Genomic DNA, 27,195 nt, shown 5'->3' on the forward strand with positions numbered 1-27,195 from the left:
TCAGATTAAGTCTTTTTAGAATTTAACTTTTTTTACAATAGTTTATTGTCATGATACGCACAGAATCAGATGCACATGCTTAGTCAATTTTATCATTTCAGATTTTTTTCTTTTTAATACAAGATTCTTTTCAAGTAGTATCATTTTTGCAGGCTATTAATGACAACAATTTCTATTCACTTGCACAAGTCTGTGACCTCTATTGGTCTAACTTAGTAGTATAGTCTTGGGTAAGGCAGTGACCTGATCCTACATTATGATCCTTAGCTACAGTCCGATACTCTCTAGAAATATAGTTCAGTTAACTTTGGGGTAATTTATTCTATGGCAAACCTCCTTGCCTAACATTGAGCCCATATCATGAGTTACCTAGTTCTATGGCTAGTTATTATTCTGTCATCATTATGTCATATCTCCACTGGAACTGTCCTCTTCTCTGACATGAAGTCCCATCAGGAAATTAGATATTTTTATCAGATAGTTAATAACATAAGCAAGGTTTTTGCAAACTAGGTTCCACAGGCCCAATCTAGATCACTGCAGTTTATAAAATATTTTATTGGAATACAGCCATGCTCATTCATTTATGAATTTTCTATGGCTGCTTTCACACTACAATGGCAAAGTTGAGTTACTTCAATAAACATCATATAGCCTGTGATATGGGTTGGCTCTGTGTCCCCACCCAAATCTCATATCGAATTGTAATCTCCACGTGTTGAGGGAGGGACCTGGTGAGAAGTGATTGGATCATTGGAGCAGTTTCACCTACGCTGTTCTCATTATGGTGGGTGAGTTCTCATGAGATCTGATGGTTTAAAAGTGTGGCACCTCCCCCGTCATTCTCTCTCTCCTGCTCTGCCACTGTAAAGATGTGTGTGCTTCCCCTTCACCTTCTGCCATGATTGTGAAGTTTCCTGAGGCCTTCAAAATATGCTTTCTATTCAGCCTGTGGAACTGTGAGTCATTTAAACCTTTTTTAAAATAAATTACCCAGTCTCAGGTAGTTCTTTATAACAGACTAATACAGCCTGTAAAGCTTTAAATATTTACTGTCATAATCTTCACAGGAAAATTAAAAATTTTCATCCATGATTGACATCAGGAAGTCATTTCTGTATCCAAAAATGATGATGCTTTTGTAGCCAGCTGAGACTTCAGGGGCCCAGCTAGACTTGTGATTGCACTATTATTCCATTTTATGATAGAACTTTCTGGTACTTACCCTACCTTTAATATCTTAGTTCAGAGAAAACTCTTGCAAGATAGATATGTCTGGGCAAATCATCTATCTCCACTAGGGCCCTATAACAAACCAGTAATTTTTTCTCAAAATGTATATATTATTCAATGGCTGGATAAAAACTTTAAGTTCAGAAATTAAAAGTCAAGAGAATTCCAAGAAAGTTTAATTGTCAGAGACTCCAGTAAGATGTAAAATCAGTCATAGAAACTTGCAGTTCTAATATGTGTGAAAGACACAGGGATGGAAAGCTTAGGCCTGCCTGCTTTACAGCTACTTGGAAGCTTCCTGTTTTGGATACTACTACTCACTAGAGGCCTGCCTGGTAAGATGCTATAAGGACTCTCATAAAATTCTTAAATGTGAGATGTGTTCTTTTTAATACCATGGAGAACTATCAAGTGTTGTAAAAAATCAATAAACCGTTATCAACATCTCAAAAAAATAGATTGAGTTTGTGAGTGGAAAGCCTAAGGAATGGTGTTCCTAAATAGAGTTGAGAATTGAAAAACAAAAATACCAATATTTGGAAAATATCCATGTTTATGACTAAAAATTTATTTTCATATTTGGTTGTATATCTCTTAGATTAAATATGTTAATTAGGTGATTAAAGTCTAGATTCTTACAAATTTTGTCTGTTTTACTTACTAGTTTTTGAGGAATATTATTAAAGTATTATATTTAGATGGTATGTCAATTGCTCCATATAGTATTTGTTCTTTGACCCTTATGTTTTTGAGTCTATAGTTTTTCATGAACATAAACATTTCTGAATAGTTCTGATAAAAGAACATTAAAATAATAGTAATTATAACAATCTTTTAAACTCTGGTAAGATTTTGCCAAATATATTATAGGTTTCGGTTATCAGTTCATTGCCTCTCAACTTCAAATGCATAATTTAATATATATACATAAGATATATTATTTATCTAAGTAAATAATAACATTTATGGCCTAGCACAGTGGCTCACATCTGTAATCCCAGCACTTTGGGAGGTCGAGGTGGGTGGATCACGAGGTCAGGAGATCGAGACCATCCTAGCCAACATGGTGAAACCTCGTCTTTACTGAAAACACTAAAATTAGCCTGGTGTGATGGCATGTGCCTATAGTCCCAGCTACTCGGGAGGCTGAGGCAGGAGAATCACTTGAACCCAGGAGATGGAGGTTGCAGTAAGCCGAGATAGTGCCACTGAACTCCAGCCTGGCAACAGAGTGAGACTCTGACTCAAAAAAATAACAATAAAAAAAATAACATTCCTTTAAGCATTTCTTATTTAAAATGAGCACAATAACTAACTTTATCATTAGAGGGCTTATTAAAGACATTATAATATAGAGTAAGGGACCTTTTGCATTTTCTAGTGTGGGATAGGGTGATGAGTATGGGTGTGAGAATATCCAGTGGCACCTGATCACAGCCTCAGAATCTGTTCTCCCAGCCCAGCACCAGTCTAGCAATTACCTTTCCTCTGCACCCTTGACATGAAAATCAGAAGCAGCAGGCTGTCCAGATTCCTTCAGCAAGCCCCTACATAATGTGGACTCCAGAGGTTTCCCAGCATCTTCAGACCAGCTCTGGCCTGGTTCACCAAGCAAAATTCTCTGCTATCCAGTGGCTACACCACAACATCCCCAGTGAAGGTTGAACCTCTTCCATGTATGTCTTTTCTTGAGTCCTCTCTCTCTGTCCTAGCAAAATATATAGTGTTTCCTTATATTTTATAGTTATTTTAATCATAGTTAATTATTTGTATTAAACTTCAACCTGTTTAACTTACTGTGTGGTTTATGTCTCCTGACTTGACTCAGACTACCGCAGAATTTGTATCAGAAGTGGTCCCAGGGGAAGAACTCAACAGAGGAAATTTAGATATGGTTTGTTCGTGCCTTTTGGGCTTGCCTGCAATTCTGAATTACATGCCAATTAGAAATGGAATATAAGATGAGTAAACTGTGGCATACAATGGCATCACAAGTAAGCCTGCAATCACTTGTTGTTGATTTTGATGAAGTGCCAATTCAACCACTGGCCTTGGGAGCTCAACTGGCTTCTGAAACTTGATCATTGTGAGTGACTGTGACTGTAAAGACCCTGATGTGGGTGATATTATTTGAGTGTACTTGAGTGTTAAAAAAGAAAATGACAAGCTAATGTCTTTAACTTTCGTCTCAAGTTATAGTCTGAGAAAGAAACAATTTCCATAACAGCTCTAAAAGAGTCTCTTGTTTTTTGAATCTACAGATTTGATATTGCTAAAAAGGTAAACAATATTTAATTGTATGAGTTGCCAAATTACAATGAGAATTACATTCATAGCCTTTTTGGTTTTTCATGCCAAAGTTAGGTCATTACTTGGGAAGAAGTGAATTGTGAATTATGAAATGGGTACAGCTGGCTGGATCAAGAAGCAACTGGTAATCTTGAACACCCAAATATTTCTGAGATTTTTTTACTAGTAAAAGTAGTTTTTCTTTCTGTGTCCAAAACAACTAGACTTTCTCAGCTTGAAAATCTTGTGATAGTCTCAATTGGTGTACATATCATGAAAAGAAATGCTCATTCTCCTCAGGATCCACCATAAATAACCTCCATTTCTGGTAGAATATAAATAGGATCAAATCTAAGCATGGTTCAAGATTCAGGTACACACTATGAGAAATAAATAACTTCTATACAAAAGAATTTCAGAACCCTGTGTATTATTTCATTTTCATGCTGCTGTAAAGAAAACATACCTGAGACTGGGAAAATAAAAAGGTTTAATTGGACTTACAGTTTCACATGGCTGGGGAGGTCTCAGAATCATGGTGGGAAGTGAAAGGCACTTCTTACGTGGTGGTGGCGAGAGAAAATGAGGAAGGAGCAAAAGTGGAAACCCCTAATAAACCCATCACATCTTGTGATACTTATGCAGTATCATGAGAATAGCATGGGAAAGCGCAGCCCCCATGATTCAATTACCTCCCTTGGGTCCCTCCCACAACATCTGGGAATTCTGGGAGGTACAATTCAAGTTAAGATTTGAGTGGGGACAGAGCCAAACCATATCATTCTGCCCAAGGCCCCTCCAAATCTGATGTCCTCATGTTTCAAAAACGAATCATGCCTTATCAACAGTCCCTCAAAGTCTTAACTCGTTTCAGCATCAACTCAAAAGTCTTCAGTGTGAAGTCTCATCTGAGATAAGGCAAGTCCCTTCCACCTGTGAGCCTGTATTATCAAATGCAAGCTAGTTACTTCCTAGATACAACTGGGGTACAGGTATTGGGTAAATACGGCCATTCCAAATGGGAGAAATTGGCCCAAACAAAGGGGTTACAGGCCCCATACATGTCCAACAACCAGCAAGACAGTCAAATTTTAAAGCTCCAAAATGATCAACTTTGACTCCAGGGTTCTCACATCCAGGTCACACTGATGCAAGAGGTGGGTTCCCATAGTCTTGGGCAGCTCTGCCCCTGTGGCTTTGCAGGATATAGCCCCCTTCCCGGCTGCTTTCACAGGCTAGTGTTGAGTATCTGTGACTTTCCCAGGTGCACAGTGCAAGCTTTCGGTCAAACTACAGTTCTGGGGTCTGGATGACGGTGGCCCTCTGCTCACAGCTCCACTAGGCAGTGCACAAGTAGGGATTCTGTGTGGGGGCTCCAACCCCACATTTCGCTTCTGCACTGCCCTAGCAGAGTTTCTCCATGAGGGCCCCACCCTGCAGCAAACTTTTGCTTGGGCATCCAGGCATTTCCATACACTTTCCAACATCTAGGTGGAGGTTCCCAAACCTCAATATTTGACTTGGGTGCACCCACAGTCTCAACACCACATGGAAGCTGCCAAGGATTGGGGCTTTCGCTCTCCGACACCATGGGCTGAGCTGTACCTTGGCCCCTATTAGCAACAGCTGGAATAGCTGGGACAAACGGCATCAAATCCCTAGGCTGCACACAGCATGGGGACCCTTGGCCTCGCCCACAGTACTATTTTTTTCTTCTAGGCTTCTGGGTACGTGATGGGAGGGGCTGCCATGAAGACCCATGGCATGCTCTGGAGACATTTTCCCCATCGTCTTGGTGATTAACATGCAGCTCCTTGTTACTTATGCAAATTTCTTCAGCCAGCTTGAATTTCTCCTCAAAAAAATTGATTTTCTTTTTGACTGCATCATCAGGCTGCAAATTTTCTGAACTTTTATGCTCTGTTTCCCTTTTAAAATGGAATGCTTTTAACAGCTCCTAAATCACCTTTTGAATGCTTATTTGCTTAGCAAATTCTTCAGCCAGATACCCTAAATCATCTCTCACAAGTTCAAAGTTCCACAAATCTCTAGGGCAGGAGCAAAACGTCACCTGTCCCTTTGCTAAAATATAACAAAAGTCACTTTTGCTCCAGTTCCCAACAAGTTTCTCATCTACATCTGAGACCACCTCAGCCTGGACCTTACTGTTCATATCACTATCAGCATTTTTGTCAAAGTCATTGAACAAGTATCTAGGAGGTTCCAAACTTTCCCACATTTTCCCGTCTTCTTCTGAGCCCTCCAAACTGTTCCAAACTTTGCCTGTTACCCAGTTCCAGAGTCACTTCCACATTTTCAGGAATCTTTTCAGCAACATCCCACTACTGGTACCAATTTACTGTATTAGTTCATTTTTATGCTGCTGATAAAAACATACCTGAGACTGGGAAGAAAAAGAGGTTTAATTGGACTTACAGTTCCACATGGCTGGGGAGGCGTCAGAATCATGGCGGGAGGACAAAGGAACTTCTTACATGGTGGCAGAAGAGAAAATGAGGAAGAAGCAAAAGTGGAAACCCCTGATAAACCCACCAGATCTCCTGAGACTTATTCGGTATCACAAGAACAGAACAGGAAGGACCAACTCCCATGATTCAATTACCTCCCCCATGGGTCCCAATGGAATTCTGGGAGATACAATTCAAGTTGAGATTTTGATGGGAACACAGCCAAACCATATCACCCTGGTAATACATATCACCAAATACCTGAGGAACATGTGTAGTAATGGACTCTAATGGTGTTAAAACAAGGAGGGTGTAATATAACACTGAAACAAGCAAATTCATTGATACATGTGTATTTCTCAGTGATTTCTGTTTAATGTATTATTTTGTATAGCTGAAGGTGCCTCTAATCACTTGTTTGTTTGACTGAAACTTTTATGCATTGCTGGCCTACATTTAGAGAATTTTGAATGCCATTGCTTAGCTGGCATGACAAGAAGGAGAGAATTGAAAATGTTAGATAGGAAAGTTGGAGTGGATTTATCATATGTGACATACATACCCACTTATTCCCCAACTACGTACCATAACAAGGTACAAAAGATACTTCATTTACTAAGAGATTGAGAAATACACTAGAGGGCAACAACTCCTTTATATTTCAGCAACAATATAGGATAACCTGGCTTTCTTTGGATCTGAAATAATAATTTAGAATTCGTCAGTGCTGTATTTGGTTCTTCCCAAATCTCCTTTATTCTTTAACATTATTCCTATGTGCTGCTAACAGTTTTGTCTTTCAATATTATTTCTTTAAATATATAACATGTATTTATTTTAACTATAAAATCCAATAATTGCTTCATGGTTTAAAATTTACTTCTGTTATTTTTAGTGGTTTTTATTTGTACATAATGTGGTGTTTCTTCTTGCACTAAGAGATTTTTGACTGTGCATTCTTTACATTCCACTGGGCTTTATATCTCTTCAAGACCACAGAATAAAGTTGCTTTCCTCATGAGAATATTGACTTCTGCTTCAGCAATTTGCCTGAGGCATGACTAATATGAGAGTACATTAAACTAAATTAAATTCTCTGCTTGAATCTTTGTGGACCACACAGCATGGATTTGGGCTACAAAAGTATCTGGTGTCTTGCTATGGTTATGAATTCTTAGGAATGATTTTGTTTTATCTCTAACCAAATTAAAGTGGAGAGAAACAAGCATCTCTGTGTCCCTTTCTGTGTATTGAGTTTGATTTCTGGTATACCCTTTTACCATTCTAATATTTGTAGTAATCTCCTATGAGATTATACAACTGAGACAGATCCTAACTGGTAGCCCCTCTTCCTAGCACTCTGTGAATCAGAAAGCAAAAGCTCAAATTTTTATTTTGTAGACAAACTCAGGAAAAAACAATGTGTAGCTGATTATTTCACAGGCTTTCTATTATTTTTGTTAAGTATCAGCCCAGTAATACATGCAAAATGGTTTAGTTTCATACAAAATTTTATTGTTTAAGCTAGAAGGAAGATTCAGTCTCCTGTTGCCAAGAACAGTAGTTAATAATACAAACACTTTATCAGATTTCCAAAATGAAGTATACTGCTTAAAAGTTATTTCAAAAACCCAGCAGGCATTTCTAATAACAACTGTAAGTAAAAGATAAATAAAAAGAAAAAACAAACATTAAACATATTTTTACTCTACATAAGCAGATATCATTTTAAATGGTGAAAAATTAATAGATAAATTCTGAAACACATACAACCAACCAAGACTGACCCATGAAGAAATCCAAAACTCGAAGAGATCCATAACCAGTATTAAGATTGATGCTATAGTAAAAAGTCTGTCAGCAAAGAAAAGCTTGGGACCCGATGGCTTCAGTGCTGGATTCTACCAAACATTTAAAGATGAAATAATACCAATCATACTCAAACTATTCCAAAAATAGAGGAGGAGAGAGTACTTCTAAATTCATTCTATGAGGCCAGTATTACCTTATATCAAAACCAGGAAAAGACATGGCAGATAAAAGCCACAGGCCAATATCTCTGATGAATATTGTTGCAAAATCCTCAACAAAATACTAGAAAACCAAATTCTACTATAAATTAGAAAGATAATTCATCATGACCAAGTAGGATTTATCCCTGGGATGCAAGGATGGCTCAACATACACAAATCAATTAATGTGATACAGTATATTAACAGAATGAAGGACAAAACATCTTCTGATCATTTCAACTAATGCTGAAAAAACACTTGATAAAATGTAACCTCTCTTCATTATAAACACTCTAAAAGAACTGGGTATAGAAGGAACATACCTCAACACAATGAAAGCCATATATAACAGACCCACAGCTAGTATATCATACTGATGCAGAAAAACTGAAAGCCTTTCTCCTCTGATATGTGGAACAAGACAACATAGTACTTGAACTATTAGCTAAAACAATCAGGCAAGAGAAAGAAAGAAAGTTCTCAGCATCACCAAATATCAGAGAAATTCAAATCAAAACCACAATAAGATACCATCTCACACCAATCAGAATGGCTATTATTAAAAAGTCAAAAAGCTGCAGAGAAAGCAGAATGCATATACACTGTTGGTGGGAATGTCAGTTAGTCCAGCCAATGTAGAAAGTATTCCAGAGATTTCTCAAAGAACTTAAAACAGAGCTATCCTTAGACCCAGCAATCGCATTACTGGGTATATACCACCACTCCCCCCAAAATAAATCATTCTATCAAAGAAACACATACACTTGTACATTCATTGCTATGCTATTCACAATAGTAAAGACATGAAATAAACCCAGGTGCCCATCAATGGAAGATTGGGTAAAGTAAACATGAAGCATATGCACCATGGAATACTACATAGCCATAAAAAATAATAAAGTCATGTTCTTTGCAGTAACATGGATGGAGCTGAAGGCCATAATCTTAAGCAAATTAATGCAGGAACAAAAAACCAAATACTGTGTATTCTCACTGATAAGTGGGACCTAAGCATTGGGCACATATGAACATAAATATGGGAACAATAGGCATTGTAGACTACTAGAAGGTGGGAGGAGTGGGTAAAAAACTATCAATCAGGTTCTATGCTCACTACCAGGTTGACAGAATTCATACTCCAAATGTCAACATCAGACAATATTCCCATGTAATATATCTGCACATGTACCACCCTGTATCTAAAACTTGAAATTAAAAAAAGGGGGTCATCCAAATTGCAAAAAAAAAAAAAGTCAAATTATTTGTATTAGTCTGCTCTCATGCTGCTAATGAAGACATAACCAAGACTGGGTAATTTATAAAGGAAAGATATTTAATAGGGTCACAATTTCACAGGGCTGGGAGGACTCAGGAAGCTTACAATCATGGCAGAAGGGGAAGCAAACATGTCCTCCTTCACATGGCACCAGGAAGAAGAATGATCAAAGAGGGGAAAAGACCCTTATAAAACCATCAGATCACGTGAGAACTCACTATCACAAGAACAGCATGGCATAAATCACCTCCATGATTCAATTACCTCCCACCAGGTCCCTCCTAAAACATGCGAGTACTATGGGTACTACAATTTAAGATGAGATTTGGGTGGCTACACAAAGCCTAACCATTCAAAATCTCATGTTCTCACATTTTAAAGCACAATCATGCCTTTCTAACAGTCCTCCAAAGCCTTAACGCATTACAGCATTAACTCAAAAGTCCAGGTCCAAAGTCTTATCTGAGATGAGGCAAATTCCTTTACCTATGAGCCTGTAAAATCTAAAACAAGTTAGTTATTTCCTAGATACAATGAGAGTACAGGCATTGAGTAAATACATCTCTTCCAAATAGGAGAAATTGGCCAAAATGAAAGGGCTACAGGCCCCATGAAAGTCTGAAATATAGTGGGGTAGTCAAACCATAAAGCTCTGAAATGATGTCCTTTGACTCCATGTCTCACAATCAGGTCATGCTGATGCAAGAGGTGGGCTCCCACAACTTGGGGCAGCTCCATACCTGTGGCTTTGCAGCATACAGCCTCCCTTGAGGCTGCTTTCATGGGCTGGTGTTGAGTACCTGTGGCTTTTCCAAGTGGATGGTGCAAGCTGTTGGTGGATCTACCATTCTTGGGCCTGGAGGATGGTGGCCCTCTTCTCACAGCTCCACTAGGCACTGCCCCATTGATGACTCTGTAGGGGGGCTCCTACTTCACATTTCCTTTCTGTACTACCCTAGCAGAGGGTCTCCATGAGGGCCCTGCCCCTGCAGCAAACTTCGGCCTGGACATCCAAAAGTTTCCGTATGTCTAAAATCTAGGGGGAGGTTCCCAAAACTCAATTCTTGACTTCTGTACACCGGCAGTCCCAACACCACATGGAAGCTGCCAAAGCTTGGGGCTTGTACTCTTTAAAGCAATGATCTGAGTTGTGCATTGGTCCTTTTTAGCTACAGCTGCAGAGGTTGAGACACAGGGCATCAAGTCCTTAGGATTCACGGAGCTTGGGGGCCCTGGACACGGCCCAGAAAACCATGTTTTCCCTCCTAGGCCTCCAGGCCAGTCATGGGAGGGGCTGCTGCAAAGGTCTCTGACATGTTCTGGAGACATTTTCCCCATTGTCTTGGTGACTTACATTAGGCTCCTTGTTACCTATGGAAATTTTTGCAGCAGGCTTGAATTTCTCCCCAGAAAATGGGGCGTCCTTTTCTATCACATTGTCAGGCTTTAAATTTTCCAAACCTTTAGCTCTGCTTTCTCTTGAATGCTTCACTGCTTAGAAATTTATTCCACTAGATGCCATAAATCAAATCTCTCAAGTTCAAAGTTCCACAGATCTCTAGGGCATGGGTAACATGTCACTAGTCTCTTTGCCTAACAAGAGTGACCCTTACTCCAGTTCCCAAAATGTTCCTCATCTCCATCTGAGACCACCTCAACTTGGACTTCATTGCCACATCACTATCAGCATTTTGGTCAAAGCTATTCAACAAGTCTCTAGGAAGTTCCAAACTTTCCCACATCTTCCTGTCTTTTAAGCCTTCCAAGTCTCTAGGAAGTTCCAAACTTTCTCACATTTTCCTGTCTTCTTCTGAGCCCTCCAGACTGTTCCAACATTTGCTTGTTACCCAGTTCCAAAGTGGCTTCCACATTTTTGGGTATTTTTATAGAAGCACCCCAGTGTCTGTGGTACCAATTTACTGTATTAGTCTGTTCTCATGCTGCTAATAAAGACATACTCAAGACTGGGTAATTTATAGAGGAAAGAGGTTTAATTGACTTACAGTTCTGCATAGCTGGGAAGGCCTCAGGAAACTTACAATCATGGCAGAAAGAGAAGCAAACACTACCTTCTTCACATGGTAGCAGGAAGGAGAAGAATGAATGAAGAGAGGAAAAGTCCCTTAGAAAACCATCAGATCTCATGAGAACTTACTCACTTTCACAAAAACAGTCTGGTGGAAATCGCCTCCATAATTCAATTACCTCCCACTAGGTCCCTCCCATGACACGTGGCGATTATGGGAACTACAATTCAAGACGAGATTTGGGTGGGGACACAAAGCCTAACCATATCATTATTCTTGTTTGCTGATAAGATAATCTTATATTTGGAAAAACCTAAAGACTCCACTAAAAAAAACTATTAGAACTGAGAAATTAAGTAAAATTGCAGGATACAAAATAGACATTAAAAAACAGTAGCATTTCTATATGCCAACAGCAAACAACACAAAAAAGAATTCAAGAAAGTAATCCTATTTACAATAGCTATATATAAAACAAAATACCTAGGAATAAACTGAAACAAAGAATTCAAGTGTTTGTATAATAAAAACTATAACATTGATGCATGAAATTGAAGAGGACACCAATTCTTACAAAATAATATGAAAGAAGCTACAAAAACAATGAAAAATAAAAAAATGAGTATTTTAATTAAAATAGTGCATTGAACTTTACATTATTAATTAGACTATAATAATGTCAACTGAACATGGATGATTGAAATACCTGTCTAAATACATTCACAAACATATATATTCTTACATCACAGAAGGATATACATGCACATATATTGAGCAAATATCTATTAAAATGTCACACAATATTTTAAAAGATCAACATGATATTAAATTGCATAACACAGCATTCTCAGCAAGACAAATATCCAAGAAAAATATTTTTGGTAAGAAGAAGATGGTAGACTTATATTGTTTGTTGAATTTTGTACTAATGTGTTATGTAAGAATTATAACCATTATCATTTTGCAAATGAGAAAATAAAAATTAAAAAATTAATAATTATATCTAGGATTACCTTGGGTAAAAGTTGAAAATATAATGCCTAAACACATTTTTTAAGACTCCTAAGCCAGTGCTATTCCTCTGTTTCATAGTACTCATGTTGTTTTAAAACAATCAAAATTGGCTGTATTACCTCCTTAATTCTATGAAACTTGCTCAGTTTCACATGCTGTGTAGCTAGTTCTGGGATGGGAGATGACATGGGCATTTGTAATTTGTGTCACATGTTATAGAAACAAATGATATAAATATAATCTGAGAAATGTCTGCTTCCAGAATAGGTGAATTTAAGAGAGTATATTTCCCCTACTACCAAAACAAACAAACAAAAGAAAAAACAGAACAAACCAAAAAATCACCAAAGATAAAACATGTAAAACAAGGGTTTTCAGACATTGAAGTATAAAATAGCACAGGTGAGTGATCCATGAGAAAGACAGATAAAATGAATTGAACCTATAATTGGCTTAGCATACTCCCTGGAATCCTTTACTGGACGCAATGCCAAAAAAGGTACTTGGAAACTGGTTTTCATGAACTGAGGAAATAGGAGTGGGAAGCTGGAGAGGCCAGTCAGCTAAAATATGGACAGAAGCGAGTGCTCAGGCGACAACTGTGTAGGAAAAGAGTTCTGAGTTCTACAAAGCCTCCTCCCCTACCTTAGTTTTCGGCTGCCTACAAATCAGCCTCTATCTGTGAGAAAAACACCTGAGGTCAAAGCAAAGATCACCCAAAAGGAAAAGATGGAAAAATCCTTGTAGCTTACACAAAGCTGGAAATAATTCTGCTGCCACTAGTCAGATTGAAGAACCTAATAACTGAAGGGGAATAGGAAAGAGTATTTAGAAGATTATTGTCTCAATAGTGGGCCAACATTATTCCTAAATTAAAAACTACTCTGGTCTCACAAAACAGTTCAAAAAGAATATCTAAAATTTTTTTTATCATGTACTGATTTATTCCAGCAAATGAAAGATTTTCTTATTTTGTTGTTGACTTTTATTTTAGGTTCAGAGGTACGTGTGCAGGTTTGATATACAGGTAAATTTTATCACTGGGGTTTGTTGTACAGATTATTTCATCACCCAGTTGATAAGCACAGTACCTGATGGGTAGTTTTTCACACTTACCCTTCTTCCTCTCTCCACCCTCAAGTAGGGTCTGGTGTCTGTTGTTCCTTTCTTTGTGCCCATGTATACTCAATGTTTTGTTCTCACTTATGAGAACTAAACTAAATCCAGTAATAGGATTACTGGGTCAAGTGGAAATTCTCCTTTGAGTTCTTTGAGAAATCACCAAATTGCTTTTCATAATGGCTGAACTAATTTACATTCCCACCAGCAGTGTACAAGAGTTCCCTTTTTGGGAGGCCGAGGCAGGTGGATGACTTGAGGTCAGGAGTTCAAGACCAGCCAGGCCAACATGGTGAAACCCCATCTTTACTAAAAGTACAAAAATTAACCGAGCATGGTGGTGGACACCTGTAATCCCAGCTACTTGGGAGGCTGAGGCAGTTAAATTGTTTAAACCCGGGAAGTGGAGTTTGCAGTGAGCCAAAATCACACCATTGCACGCTAGGCTGGGCAACAAAAGCAAAACTCTGTCTCAAAAAAAAAAAAAAAATACAGTTCCCTTTTTTCCATAACCTGTCAGCATCTGTTATTTTGTTGACTTTTTAATAATCACCATTTTGACTGCTGTGAGCTCTAAATGACATTTCATTGTGGTTTGGATTTGCATTTCTCTAGTGATCAGTGATGTTGAGCATTTTAAAGTATGTTTTTGGGCTGCATGTATGTCTTCTTTTGAAAAGTGTTTGTTCGTGTTTTGCCCACTTTTTAATGGGGTTGTTTGTTTTTATGCTTCTAAATTTGTTTAAGTTTCTTATAGATTCTGGATATTAGACTTTTTTGGATGCGAAGTTTGCAAATATTTTCTCCCATTCTGTAGGTTATCTGTGCACTCTATTGATAGTTTATTTTGCTACGCAGAAGCTCTTTAGTTTAATTAGGTCTGATTTATTAATTTACATTTTTGTTACAATTGCTTTTGGCCTTTTGTCATGAAATATTTGCCCGTTCCTATGTTGGGCATGGTATTTCCTAGGTTACCTTCAAGAGTTTTAATAGTTTTGGGATATATATTTAAATATTTAAACCATATTTAGGTGATTTATGTAGATGGTAAAAGGAAGGTGTCCAGTTTCAATCTTCTGCATATGGCCCAGCCAGTTATCCCAGCACCATTTATTGAATGATGAGTCTTTTTCCAAATGTTTGTTTTTTGTAGACTTTGCTGAAGATCACATGGTTGTAGGTGTGTGACATTATTTCTGGGCTTTCTATCCTGTTCCATTGGCCTATGTGGAATCTGCTGTCCTGGAGGTGTTGAAGAGTTCCTGGACTGCTGGCCACAACAATCCAATGGGTGGTGACAGCCAAAGTGCTTCACCAGGTGATGGCAGTGGGATGTGTGCTCACCTGCATGTGCCAGCAGCAGTGGCAGTTTCTCATTGGCTGTGGTGAGGTGCTGACGGGCATAGGGCTGGCAGCCTCCGTGTGTGTTCACTTTAGTGGTGGTGGTGGTGCAGGACCAGTGGCATCCATGGACACATTCTCATTGGCAGCAGTGTTGGTGATGGGGGTGGAGTGCTGGTGGGAACAGGACTGGTGGATTCTGTGTCCGTGTTGACACTACTGGTGGTGGCAATGTGGGGCTGCTGGTCTCTGTGCATGCGTTCACACTGGCAGCCGGTGGTGGGCTGGGTGAAGTCGCATCAGCAGCAGTGGTAGAGTGGGGTGCATGTGCACGCATGTGCTGGTGGGGAAGGGGAGGCAACATCACCCACATGCATGCATGGTGGCAAAAGAGTGGGTGTGTGGCCATGGGCGAATGCAAGCCAACCAAGTAGTGCAGGGAGGCTATGGTAGAGGGAGGTTGTGTGTGGCCTGGTGTGTCAGTGGGGACCACTCTGCTGGAGCTCTCTCATGGTCAGACACGGTTTGCCAGCACAGAAAGTATGATGTAAGTCCCCTGGTTGTGCATGAAGGCTACATTGCAAGCAGGTGTGGCTAGTCTGGGGCCTAAGAGAGGGCAGCAGACAGGGGGTTGTACAGGTTGGACTGGCTTTGTCTCACGGGCAGAGTCACTTTGCTCTGTTCAGGTCTGATAGGTCCTCTAAGTCTAATATCTCCTAGGGGACCAAAGTGAGCCTTTGGAGATGGGCATCCATGGCCACGCTCCACTGCAGATGTTGCCACACCAAATACTCTGGGCTTCACTCAGGCTGGAGTCCTGCCCCTACCACTTCTCTAAGTCTCTAAGCAGCTCTCTCTCTCCCAGCTCAAGTGTCCATGGGAGTTGTGGAGTCTCCTGTTAACAGGATTTCAGAGGCATGTGGTGAGAGCAGGTTGCTCCTTACCTTCTTAACTCGTGCCTTCTCCAGGAGTTGTTGAGGCCAGGAATGAGTCCCAGTGTGTGGTAGCCCTGTCCAGAGTTCCGAGCCTCCTTGTTCTTCAGCCCAACATCTGTGTCCTCCCTGCATCCATTCTCAATGCCTTCCCTCCAGAGATCGGCTCAGAGTGTACCACTCTTCCCAGTGTCCCAGTCCCTGAATGGCAGATGTTCCTCCTGGCTGCATCTAGTTGGCCATCATCCTCTGAAAAGCCCATCTAAAAATAGTTAAATTGGCTTTAAGTAACTTAACTGAGTTTCAAAACAATATTAACACTAAAATATGTGGTGCTAAAGAAGTTATAAACACAGTACCTGACATTCAATAAATAAATTACGATATGTTCAAAGAAGCAAGAAAATATGACATATAGTAAAAAAAAAAAATCAAACAATGAGAAAAGACCCAGAAATCACATGTATGTTAGAATTAATAGAAAAAATATTTTAAAAGATGCTAGAGGAAAGATTGAGCATGTTAAGCGGGCAAAATTGAATGAATAAGGATAAAAAATACAATGTTGGAAAGAAAATATGAACTAAGGGTACTGAGAGATTGCAAATGAGAGACAAAAAGATTAGTAAACTTGACTATTTAGCGATGGAAACTATCAAAAATGAAGCATGAAATGCAAAATATTGGGGAAAAACCATATAAAGAGACCCAGAAAATGTGGACAAAATTTTAAATGGCTTACTGTAGGTGTAATAGCAGTCCTCCATGGAGGATAGAGGACAGAAAATCATTGAAGAAAATAAAGGCTGAAAAACTCCTAATTCAATAAAAATGATAAACTCAGATCCAATAAGCTGAATAAACTCTTAGCACAACAAATATAAATTACACCAATAAATATCTAAGTCAAGTTGCTTAAAATGAGTAAAAAATGAAAAACTTAAAAGCAGCTAGAGAAAACAGCATACACGCACAAATGATAAATGTGAAGAATAACAGAAACTTCTCATCATAGAAAATACACTCCAAAAGATAGTAGAGCAACTTCTTTAAAAAGGAAAGAAAAGAATTAATTTACTATTGTATACCAAGTAAAATTACCATTACATACAAAGGGTAAAATGTGTATGTATTCCAGACCTACAAAAGCTAAAAGAATTCAACAATTTCAGAACTGCACTACTAGATATGTTAAAGGAAATTCTTCAGGCAGAAGTGGAATAGTTCCATATGCAAATCTGTATTTATACAAGGAATGTAAATGTGAGACTGAACTTTCTTTAGATGATAAGTCACCGAATAAGCAAAAATAGTAATAATGTATTGTGGTGCTTATTACATAAGTATATGTAAAATGTATGACAAAATTATGCATTTAGAAATAGAGATATGGAAAAATAGTGTTGCAAAGATGTTATATTCTGTGTGAAGTGATATTACTGTAAGGTAGACAATGATAATTTAAAGGTATATACTATAAACCCTGAAAAACTACAAAAGTAAAGAAAAAATAGTACTTAATAAACTAACATATAATATAAAATATAGCAAAAATACTTAATCTCAAGTAAAGCAGAGAGAAACAAAAATGGAAACAAATGTTTAGAAAAAATAGCATGACAAATTTGAACCCATTTATACTAAAAATAACTTTAAATCTAAATGATCTTAGCACAATTAAGAGAAATTGTCACATAGATGAAATGTAATGGGTAGTACTAAACTATATGCTACCTATAAAAAATCACTTTAAAAATAAAGATACAAATATGGCAGACTAGCCCCAAGTGTCTACTGAGTGCTTGAAATTAGCCTGATCCATATTGAGATGTCTTGGAAGTATAAGATAGATACACACTAAATTTATTGACTTAATGTAAAAAAATACTTCAAGAGTAATTTTATATTTATTACATGATGAAATTATGATATTCTGATTGCATGGAGTAAAATAGAATATATTTTTAATAAATTTTTTATTTTTATTTTACTTTCTAAGGTAGCCTCTGTAAAACTTAAAATTTGTCAAGTTGCTTGCATTAGATTTGCAGTAGACAGCACTTATCTGGAATATATAAATAACTCATAACTTGATAAGAGAATATAGAACTAAATTAAAAAAAGAAAACGTATTTGAACACTTTACCAGATAAAATACATGAAAGGCAAATAAGCAAGTGAAATGATGTGCAACATCATTAGTTATTTGAGAAATTTTCTTTGTATTTAAGTACAGGTTTGCAGTTAATTTTGGTTAAGAGATTTAAAGTTAATCCACTATAGCTGGGAAATAGATTGTACAAAGTCTGAATGTTTAAACAGTGAGAAGATAATAAACATTTCTACTAGTAAACTCTTTTTGTCTTGCCAATAATGAAATTACACATATTAGTATTACGTGATATTTTACACAAACATGAACACACAATGATGTATTCTGCTTGAATGGAGTCTCAACTGTAGAGAGAGCAGCAGTATTTGCAATTGCAGAGAAAATGAAATTATACTAAGATAGGAGCAATATGATAAACAAGGTTATGTTCTATCTAGATCTTCCATCGTTACATTCTATCTAGATCTTCCATCAAGAGAACGTGCTATGTGAAGTATATTTGACTCACTCTCCAGCGACATCTTTGTTCTGTTTCTCCCAGCCTTCTTACAGTCACTAAACTCAGCAAAGGACCTGGAACTATGCCATTCTTTCCTGGATATGGGGTCTTTCTGTGAGCAACTTTTGTTAGAAGATTCCCATAGATCTGATCAAAGTTTCTTAGAGCTGCACTGCAGCCGGCAGATTTTTCTATCCACTCTGTTTTTCTCTCTCTCCTTTAAAAGGTATTAGATATTCATCAAGACCTAGAAGTTCTCTGTGTTATTCTCTCTTCCTCTTTATTTGTCACAACTGTTTCTCTTGAACAAACTCTGCATATCACATCCTGCCTTGATGTCATCTTGGAGAATCCAAAGTGGCACAGATGGTGCAAAGAGTGGACTAGGAAAACAGGCAGTCATACAGTACTTAATATTAGCTTCCTAGCTGTCAAGGAACACCAAATCTGGAGTGGAAGGAGGAACATGGATATTCACAGGCACAGAGTAATAGCCTAAGCATTGAAAATTTTGCAGGTAGTGACCTATGGGAATCTCCACTGCAAATAAACAAGTGCCCTCTCACAAGCTACGCCTGTCTGCTCTTCCGTACAATAGGAGATCTTCTCTTCAGTTTTCTTTTTGCAAACCAAACAACTTTGCACAGCAGCCTACAAGCAGACACATTTTTTTTCAGTCTATTAGCTAGAGTGGCAGAGGCTTTTGCTTAACTCAGTCACTGGCAAGGTGAAAGATTCCCCAGGTGTTTGCTTAAATGACTAAAGGATAACTTTTGCACTTAGGTTGCATTTACTTTACAAGTCACATAAGGGTAATAATTATCTATCATTCTTTTACCTCCCTCTCTCTGCCTCTCCTTCTTTCTCCCCTTTACCCTCTTTCATATTCACTATCATTACCATTACAAAATTGTTTATAAGACCAAAATCTGGAAATAAATTGTTTATCCATATATAGGAAGTGATTATTTTAATAATGAGAGATCAATATTATATAATAATAATCAGAAGGAAAAAATATGTATACATGCAGACATAAAATATTTATTATATTGTTACAATTTTTAAAAAAGCAAAACACAAGTTTTATAACATGTCATAGGGAAATCCTGTTTATTATAAAAATATTAATATAGAAATATAGATATGGATGTATACATAGACATATCTAGAAAGTGACATTCTTAAACATGGGTATAATATTTATTAGAAAATATACAGAAAACAGTTGTGATTTACATTGTAGAATGGGAAAATGATGAGCGAGTGAATTAGAAAATGGGATTTATATTCTCATTCTTAATTCTCTTATATAATTGGACATTTCTTTTATAATTATTACTACGAAAATAATAGGAAAACGACAATTAGAAATAGAGCAAAATGAAAACAGTGATGGGCAGAAAATCATTATATTATGTGGCTTGGTTTTACTTTTCCCAGCCTCCCATGTGTGCTGCAATGCCCTTATGTTATTTCAGAAGTAAATGTATTCATTTTCTTTCAAAATATAAACCACTATAAAATTATCTTTGGCTGGGCGTGGTGGCTCACACCTGTAATCCCAGCACTCTGGGAGACTGAGGCGGGCAAATCACCTGACGTCGGGACTTCGAGACTAACCTGGCCAACATAGAGAAACCCTGTCTCTATTAAAAATACAAAATTAGCCATGAGTGGTGATGCATGCCTATAATCGCAGATACTTGGGAGGCTGGGGCAGGAGAATTGCTTGAACCTGGGAGGCCGCGGTTGCGGTGAGCCCAAATCGTGCCATTGCACTCCAGCCTGGGCGACAACAGTGAAACTCCGGCCCCCACCGAAAAAAATTATCTTCACAAGATATCACTTGACCTCCTATGTCATGCCTACTCATCTGTTACTTGCTCATATAGAAGAAGGTTTTTGAAAGAAATATTTTGACCAAAACTTCTATTTAAACTAAACGAGGGCTCAAGTTGAATAATATTTGGGTCTGAGAACAGTTTATCACAATGTCAACTCAATGAAAGCAGTACTTTTCTGGCTCAATAAATCATTGGGTCAAATAACTTATAATAAATCAGTGATATAAAGTCTCAAGAGTTTTTCAAATCTATCCAACTTAAATATTATATTTCTCATCTTTTTTTACAATGCTTGTTTTAATGAATATTGCTTAGAATTAATCCAACATTTGTTAGTTTAATTTATGTTAATTCATGTCATACGATTTACATCTTATAAATATTTTATGTTATTTCTGCAATAGCAGTACACATGGTGCTGCAGTCCAGTATGTGTTTGTAGTCTGATATAATCCTTATATTTATTTTGGAAACACATTTGTATGTTTTTTTTGTTTATAACTAATATCAACAAAAACATTATCTACAATATTTTTATTTAGCATGAATTTTTAAGTACCAAAATTACTGCATCATTCTTGAATATAAAGAGTGTAAAGCATGATATTTTATTCATATTTTTCACCAAACCATTCTTAATTCTTAGCCCTGTGCCTAAAATGCCAATGCTGACGTTCCTAAAATTCTCCTTTGGGGAAAAAAAAAGAGAAGTTTTTGAGGAAGATGCCTAACACAACAATTTGCAGTTACAGTGTATTTCTCACTCTTTTGCATGTTTCGTGCATAGGAAATTTTATTTTATGTAAAACTGGAGTAGGTCTATACTTTACTTCCACAGGTTTTATAGGACTGGAGAGCTGTTTGTGATTGTGGCTTGTGTCACAGAAGAGATTTTGTCTTTTCTGACCTGATGTGTCTTCTTTTACTAGCCTCTCATGCTGAAAATGAGTTCTAAGTTTCTGCCTTAAAATTAATGTAAAAAGTATTTTGCTTGATGACATACAGTGATGCCTGAAGTATTAGATGCTTTAATGCCTTCCTACGTTTCAAACTAAAATGAATTTCACCTCTTTATATTTAATTTTTATGTATTTGTAAGTTCTCAAACATAAATATTTAAGAGCTATATATTATAGAGATGTTAGTAGTGTTCTGTATTCACAAACTCAAAACATAAAGAAAGGAATGTAATTTAATTATTTGATTCACATATTTATTATTTGAGAAAATTATTTTAAGCCTAAAAATTTAATAATTATATTTTAAATGATCTCTTGTAATGCTTGAAATTAAGGTAGAAATGAACAATTGTTGGACTGAAATGCTAAACTGTGTTATTGCTTATAGGCTTCCACTGGGAGTCTGCAACAGTACTCATTAGGGTAAGGCTAATCAGCATTACATCAGGGAAACAGCTAAAGTAGCAACTAAGGAAATAATATAAAAATAACTATAACAATTAAAGAAGCTAAACAAATAAGAAGGATATATGAAATTGTTTAATACGCTAAGGGTTACAGTCATAAAATAGTATAATGTAAGCTATTTCAAATGGATATGTTCTAAAACTCTGTAGTATCATGATAAATCAATTAAAAGTGAGAGAAGGAATGTTGAACATTGGAAAGGGAATATTTGGACTGTCTATAAAACTTGAATATAAACTTATAAAAGAGTTCATCTTATTAAATCAAATTGTAATGTAGAAGTGAACACTGTTATGTTTGATGCCAAACAAGTGGAGCTTTTATGTGTGTTATCTATCAAATTAGTGTGATAAGTTTCTTATTTAAAGTAGGGCTCCTTAAGATATTCTTACATGGAGTTCATTAATATGTACCAGAAGATACCTCTAGTTTATTAAAAAATAATTGATGTTGGGACAAAGAGAAATAATTCAATATCTTCTCCTGTGTCTATTACATGCATTAACTAATGCAATGGTTCAAATAAATATATGTCCTTTAATCAAGGCTTCTAGAACTTGGGATAGGGAAGTGAGAGTCTTTCAGATGCACATATTTTAATTTCATGGATAAAACCTTGAAGAAAGGCTACATTTATGAAGTTGTGATTACTAAAAGATATAATTTGAATAGCTCAGATACTAATAGGTATTTCATTGATATTTGAGTGTAAAATCACTTCCCTTTCTTAATTATGTGGTATAATTGCTTAAGACTCAGACCTGTAATACATCCTATGCAGTTACTATGATCAGTATATGGTCTACAAAGTCACGGGAGCAGCAGATGTCTGGCTCCATAAGTTAATAAACAAACACGTATGGGAAACAAAAACAAACAATAAAAAAACAAAAACTAGTAAGTATTATAGTTCTCATTCTAAGTCTAAAAAAATTTAGTAAGCCTGATAATGTCACCATTATGACCCATCTACTTTTCAGATAATTTTCATCCATTTTTCTTCACTAAAATTGTTCTGTGATTAACACCTTAATCTCATATCATCCATATAACAATGAAGAAATGAAACAGTGTAACTTTCTTTGGGAACTTTTTATGCCTGAATTGTGTTCCCCAAAATTTTTATGTTGAAGTCGTTGCCACAGGTGGTACCTCTGTGTATAACTGTGTTTGGAGAAAGGACTTTACAAAGGTAGGTAAAAACGAGGTCATTAGCCAGGGTCCTAATCTAATATGATTGGTTTCCTTATAAGGAAAGGATATTAGAACATGTATACACACACAGGGAAGACTATGCAAGAATACAGGGAGAAGACAGCCATCTGTAAACCAAAGACAGAGACCTTAGAAGAAGCCAACCCTGCCGACAACTTGGTCTTAGACTTCTATCCCACAGAACTGTGACAAATTTTTAAGCCACTCAGTCTGAGGTACTTTGTTTTGGCAGCCTTAGCAAACTGATACATACCTGGAATCAAAAAGAACTAGTCTGCATAAAATTTGTGGTGGCATGGTTCATATTTACATTTAATTTTAGGTGAAAAATATTGCCTTATTTAATTTGGCCTCACCTAAGTATGACACAACTATATTAAATTTATTAAATTATGTATTTGTTTACCTGCTAGGAAATTTTAGAGTATAAAAGTTTAGAATATAAATCTTTTAGGTAAAAAAACAGATAAATATTTTTGTCATAATCAATGTTCTTCACCATTTAGTTACATACTAATACATGAAGACAAAACATTTTGTACAATTTTTATGTTTGTAAATAACACAAATAATCTTTTTAAGAAACAAGTATAATATTTTAGGTCTGTATTTGGGCTTATGCTATCAGAATATACAACATCTGTAAATAATAAAAATAACAAAATATTAAAATATTACATTTGCCAGTTTACTTTAAAATTCAATTTAAATTATTTTAAAATTGCCTAGCTTAAAGTTTCAAAATGTTGTTTCTTAAAATGAGATACATAATGGATATTACCTCTTTTAAATATATTTACCACTAATGAAAATTTCATAATGCCATATTTGCATTTTTATTTTTTTTTTAAATTAGGTATATTAACTTAATATTCACTTTATATTGTGGATGTTCATCCAATTGGATGTTCACCCACTTTTTAATGGGGTTTTTTCTTGTAAATTTGTTTAAATTCCTTGTAGGCTCTCGATGTTAGACCTTTGTCAGATGGATACAATGTATTTTTCTGTGTTTCTCCTCTCTGTTCTCAAGACTGTTTACAGCACATAATATTCTTGTGGAAAAATACTAATCCCAAGGTAAATTGTTACCTATCTATTGGATAAAACACAAAGTAGAGAATATTGTTTATGACTCTGCAAATTTTTATTTGTATATAACCTACATTAGAACTCACTGTTGGAAGCTGCTTGGGATAAATTACAGAGAAATTATCAGATTTTTAAATTGATTATTATATACATACATATATATATATACACACACATACATACAGAATTGTGTAGTACTAATGATTGTCTTTCTCATAATTTTTAGATATATTTTCTTAAAGGGAAAATCAAATTGTGAAAAAAGAAAATTTACCACAGTTAGCCAAATATCCAATAGAATTTGAGAGATGCTGCAAATTCTTTAAAACAAACAAACAAAAATACTAGAAATTTTTATTTGGACTGTTTCCACTGTCAAAACTTTAATTAAAAAATAATGAGCTGGAAGTAAATTTGCCTCCAAAATTATACCACAATGTGATAAAATCCCATTGATATTCTATTTTTGCTTTCGATAACACAGTGATTGTTAACATATCTGTTTATACTTAAGGTTAATCTTTATGTATTAGACATAAGGTTGTATATAACCTTTCTAATTAGATTTCTGTGAGCATAACTTACCTCATTATTGATACTGCCAGGTTTTAGAAATTGAGATGTACAAAATTTTCTGTAAGGGGCTGGTAGATGAATAGGGAGAAACAGGCTAACCTAATTAAACATTCATGCCTTGAGTCTTATCACAGTAAAAAGGAGAGAAATTTAAAGAAGTTTAGGAATATGTTTCTCTTGAGAATATGTAATGTGAACTCACCCTTGAAGAAACTGTAATAGTTCAACAGGCAGAAAAAACAGGTAGATTCAATTTAGCACAGAACGTATCAGGCAATTATGAAAGACAAAAGGACTGTGAGATGGCCAGATATATTAGGAAATAAATGTTCTTTTACATGTTAAAGAGTGGATAAAAGGAAATTAACATGAAATATTGTTCCAAATGATAACATTAAGAGTGGTTTGATAATCAAAAGAGTAGTTTTTACCAAAAAATTCTAAACTATAGTGAGATATTGAAGAATTTTGAAAGCAGTTATAGGGCCTCTGAATCTAGTTACAATATGGTAGAGATTGAAACAACTAGAATAACCTGAATAAATCATATTTTCAAGTATATCAGATACTCATTAAACAAATAAGTTTAGTTAAATTAAAATTCCAGAGACTAGAGATAGTTTGACTTCTTCTTTTCCTGTTTGGATACCTTTTATTTCTTTCTCTTGTCTGATTGCTCTGGCTAGGACTTCCAGCATGTTGAATAGGAGTGGTGTGAGTGCGCATACTTGTCTTGTTCCAGTTCTCAAAAGGAATGGTTCCAGAGTTTGCCTGTTCAGTATGATGTTGCCTGTGGATTTTCATAGATGAATCATTATTTTGAGTTATATTTTTTCAATGCTTAGTTTTTTGGGATTTTTTTGTTATCATGAAGGGATGCTGGATTTTATGGAAAGTGTTTTTTCCGTGTCTGTCTAAATGACCATGCGGTATTTGTTCTCAGTATCTGGGTGACAGATTAATTCATACTCCAAACTTCAGCATCATGTGATATACTTATGCAACAAACCATCATGTGTACCCTTTGACTCTAAAATACAAGTTGAAATAAAAAATCCAGAGGAACGAACGGTACTATCTAGGTGACATAAGATCATCAGACATTGCCACCCTCACTCTCCAGGGAAAATTGTTGAGTCTGAGTACAAGGCGAAGAATAGGTTTAACACAGGTAGAGGGATGCAGTGGCAGGAGAAACCAACAGACCTTTGGTCAGTCAGGTAACCTTGCCTGAGAGACTGGAATCTAGAACATCCCCAAATGCATAGGGAATTATTCCCATTGGATATTTGCTAAGGGCTGAGGAGGTGAAGTGAAATCTCCCATGGTTACATGACATTTTAGGCAAGAAAAAATCATTAGGTAACAAAACCTGCAGCATACATGTGACAATTTATTTTTTTATCAGGATTTTGAAATCAGAGGTAAACTGGATTTAGCTGAAACAATCAGCTGATTGGCTTCAGATGATCAGGTTTTTATAGTGTCTTCCTGATTGAGCAAAGAGTGAATTTTCCCTGGTGAAATTATATCAAATTCTGGATCCACATTTTTATAAACAAATTTACAGCATATAATTTCATGGCAGACAAAAAGGGACATGAATGTATGAGTGATATCAAGAGAGAAAAAAGAAGCTGACTTCCAAATGATACATCTGTAGGAACTAGCATACCCTACCCAATTATAAAATAATTATTATAAATACATCAAGAAAAATGGAAGAAATAATGGTGTATATTAAAAAAGCAGCAATGTATTAAAGTAAAAAGAATATTCTCATACTGAAAATCACAGTATCTGAAAATAATAAGGTACTGATTTGGCTTAAGTGGAGACTGAAAATAGAAGAAAAGAGTTGACAACTTGAAGCAAAGTAAATGCATAACATTCACAAAAGAATGAATAGAAGATACCAGAGAATAAAGAAGATCTGAGACACAGTTTAAAGTTACAACATATGTATGTGTTGTCTCAGGTGGAGAAACAAGAGAAAATAATACAAAAACAATTTTAGAAGGTTTATAATAGCTTAACTTGTTAAAAACTAGTAAAAGACTTTAGTCCACCTATACAAGAATTTAGTAAACCTCAAGTCAGATAGTGTACATACACACACAAGGTAAGAAAAAATAAATCAAAGTACTAACAACAAGCCAATGGCTGACTGTTGAGACCTACAGAATCCAGAAGAAAGTTGCCTCTTTTTAGAAATCTGAAAAACAAAATAAAAAAATAAAAAATAAAAAAGAACAATAACAACTACCTGATCACTGGTAATTTTCTCTGATTTAAAGTCTAATTTGTCAAGTATTAAATTGGCCACTTCATTTTCCTTTTGCAGGCCTGTATTTTTCTATTTTCTTTTACTTTTAACTTGTTGACATCACAATGTATTCATTTCTTTTTGTATCCAGTATGTATTTGGAACACATTTTATTTATTTTAATCTGAAATTTCCCTTTTAAATTTTGTTTATATAGGCCAATTACTTTAGATGTATTTATTTAGAATTCAAATCTAGCATTTTATTATTTATTTTTGTTTGTACCACCTGTTTGTTGTTGTTGCTCTCCTCCCTATTCCTGCCTGCTGTAGAATTATTTGAATACTCACATTTATGTATTGACTTCTTGGTTATATTTCATTGCATCATTTTTCTTTTCTTAGTCACTGTATAAATTAAACTATACTAAACTACACTTTCACATT

The 27,195-nt window shown here is 35.9% G+C and overlaps 1 long non-coding RNA gene across 2 annotated transcripts in view; it reads right to left on the bottom strand.

Annotated features, from left to right (window-relative positions):
• The window catches only part of LOC105370234 (uncharacterized), a 75,553-nt gene that overhangs the window by 36,248 nt on the left and 12,110 nt on the right, over window positions 1–27,195 (bottom strand). Inside the window, exons 1-2 of one of the 2 annotated variants that reach the window (XR_942013.2) lie at window positions 25,133–25,173; window positions 15,727–15,976 (exon numbers count right to left, since the gene is read on the bottom strand). This is a non-coding gene — a long non-coding RNA (uncharacterized LOC105370234). Of the gene's footprint in view, window positions 1–11,909; window positions 15,977–25,132; window positions 25,274–27,195 lie in introns of those variants that run through there. The other variant, XR_942014.2, reaches the window with a different exon arrangement.

The sequence above is a fragment of the Homo sapiens genome, chromosome 13 (genome assembly GCF_000001405.40).
Source record: "Homo sapiens chromosome 13, GRCh38.p14 Primary Assembly".
NCBI classification, from domain to species: Eukaryota; Metazoa; Chordata; class Mammalia; order Primates; family Hominidae; genus Homo; species Homo sapiens.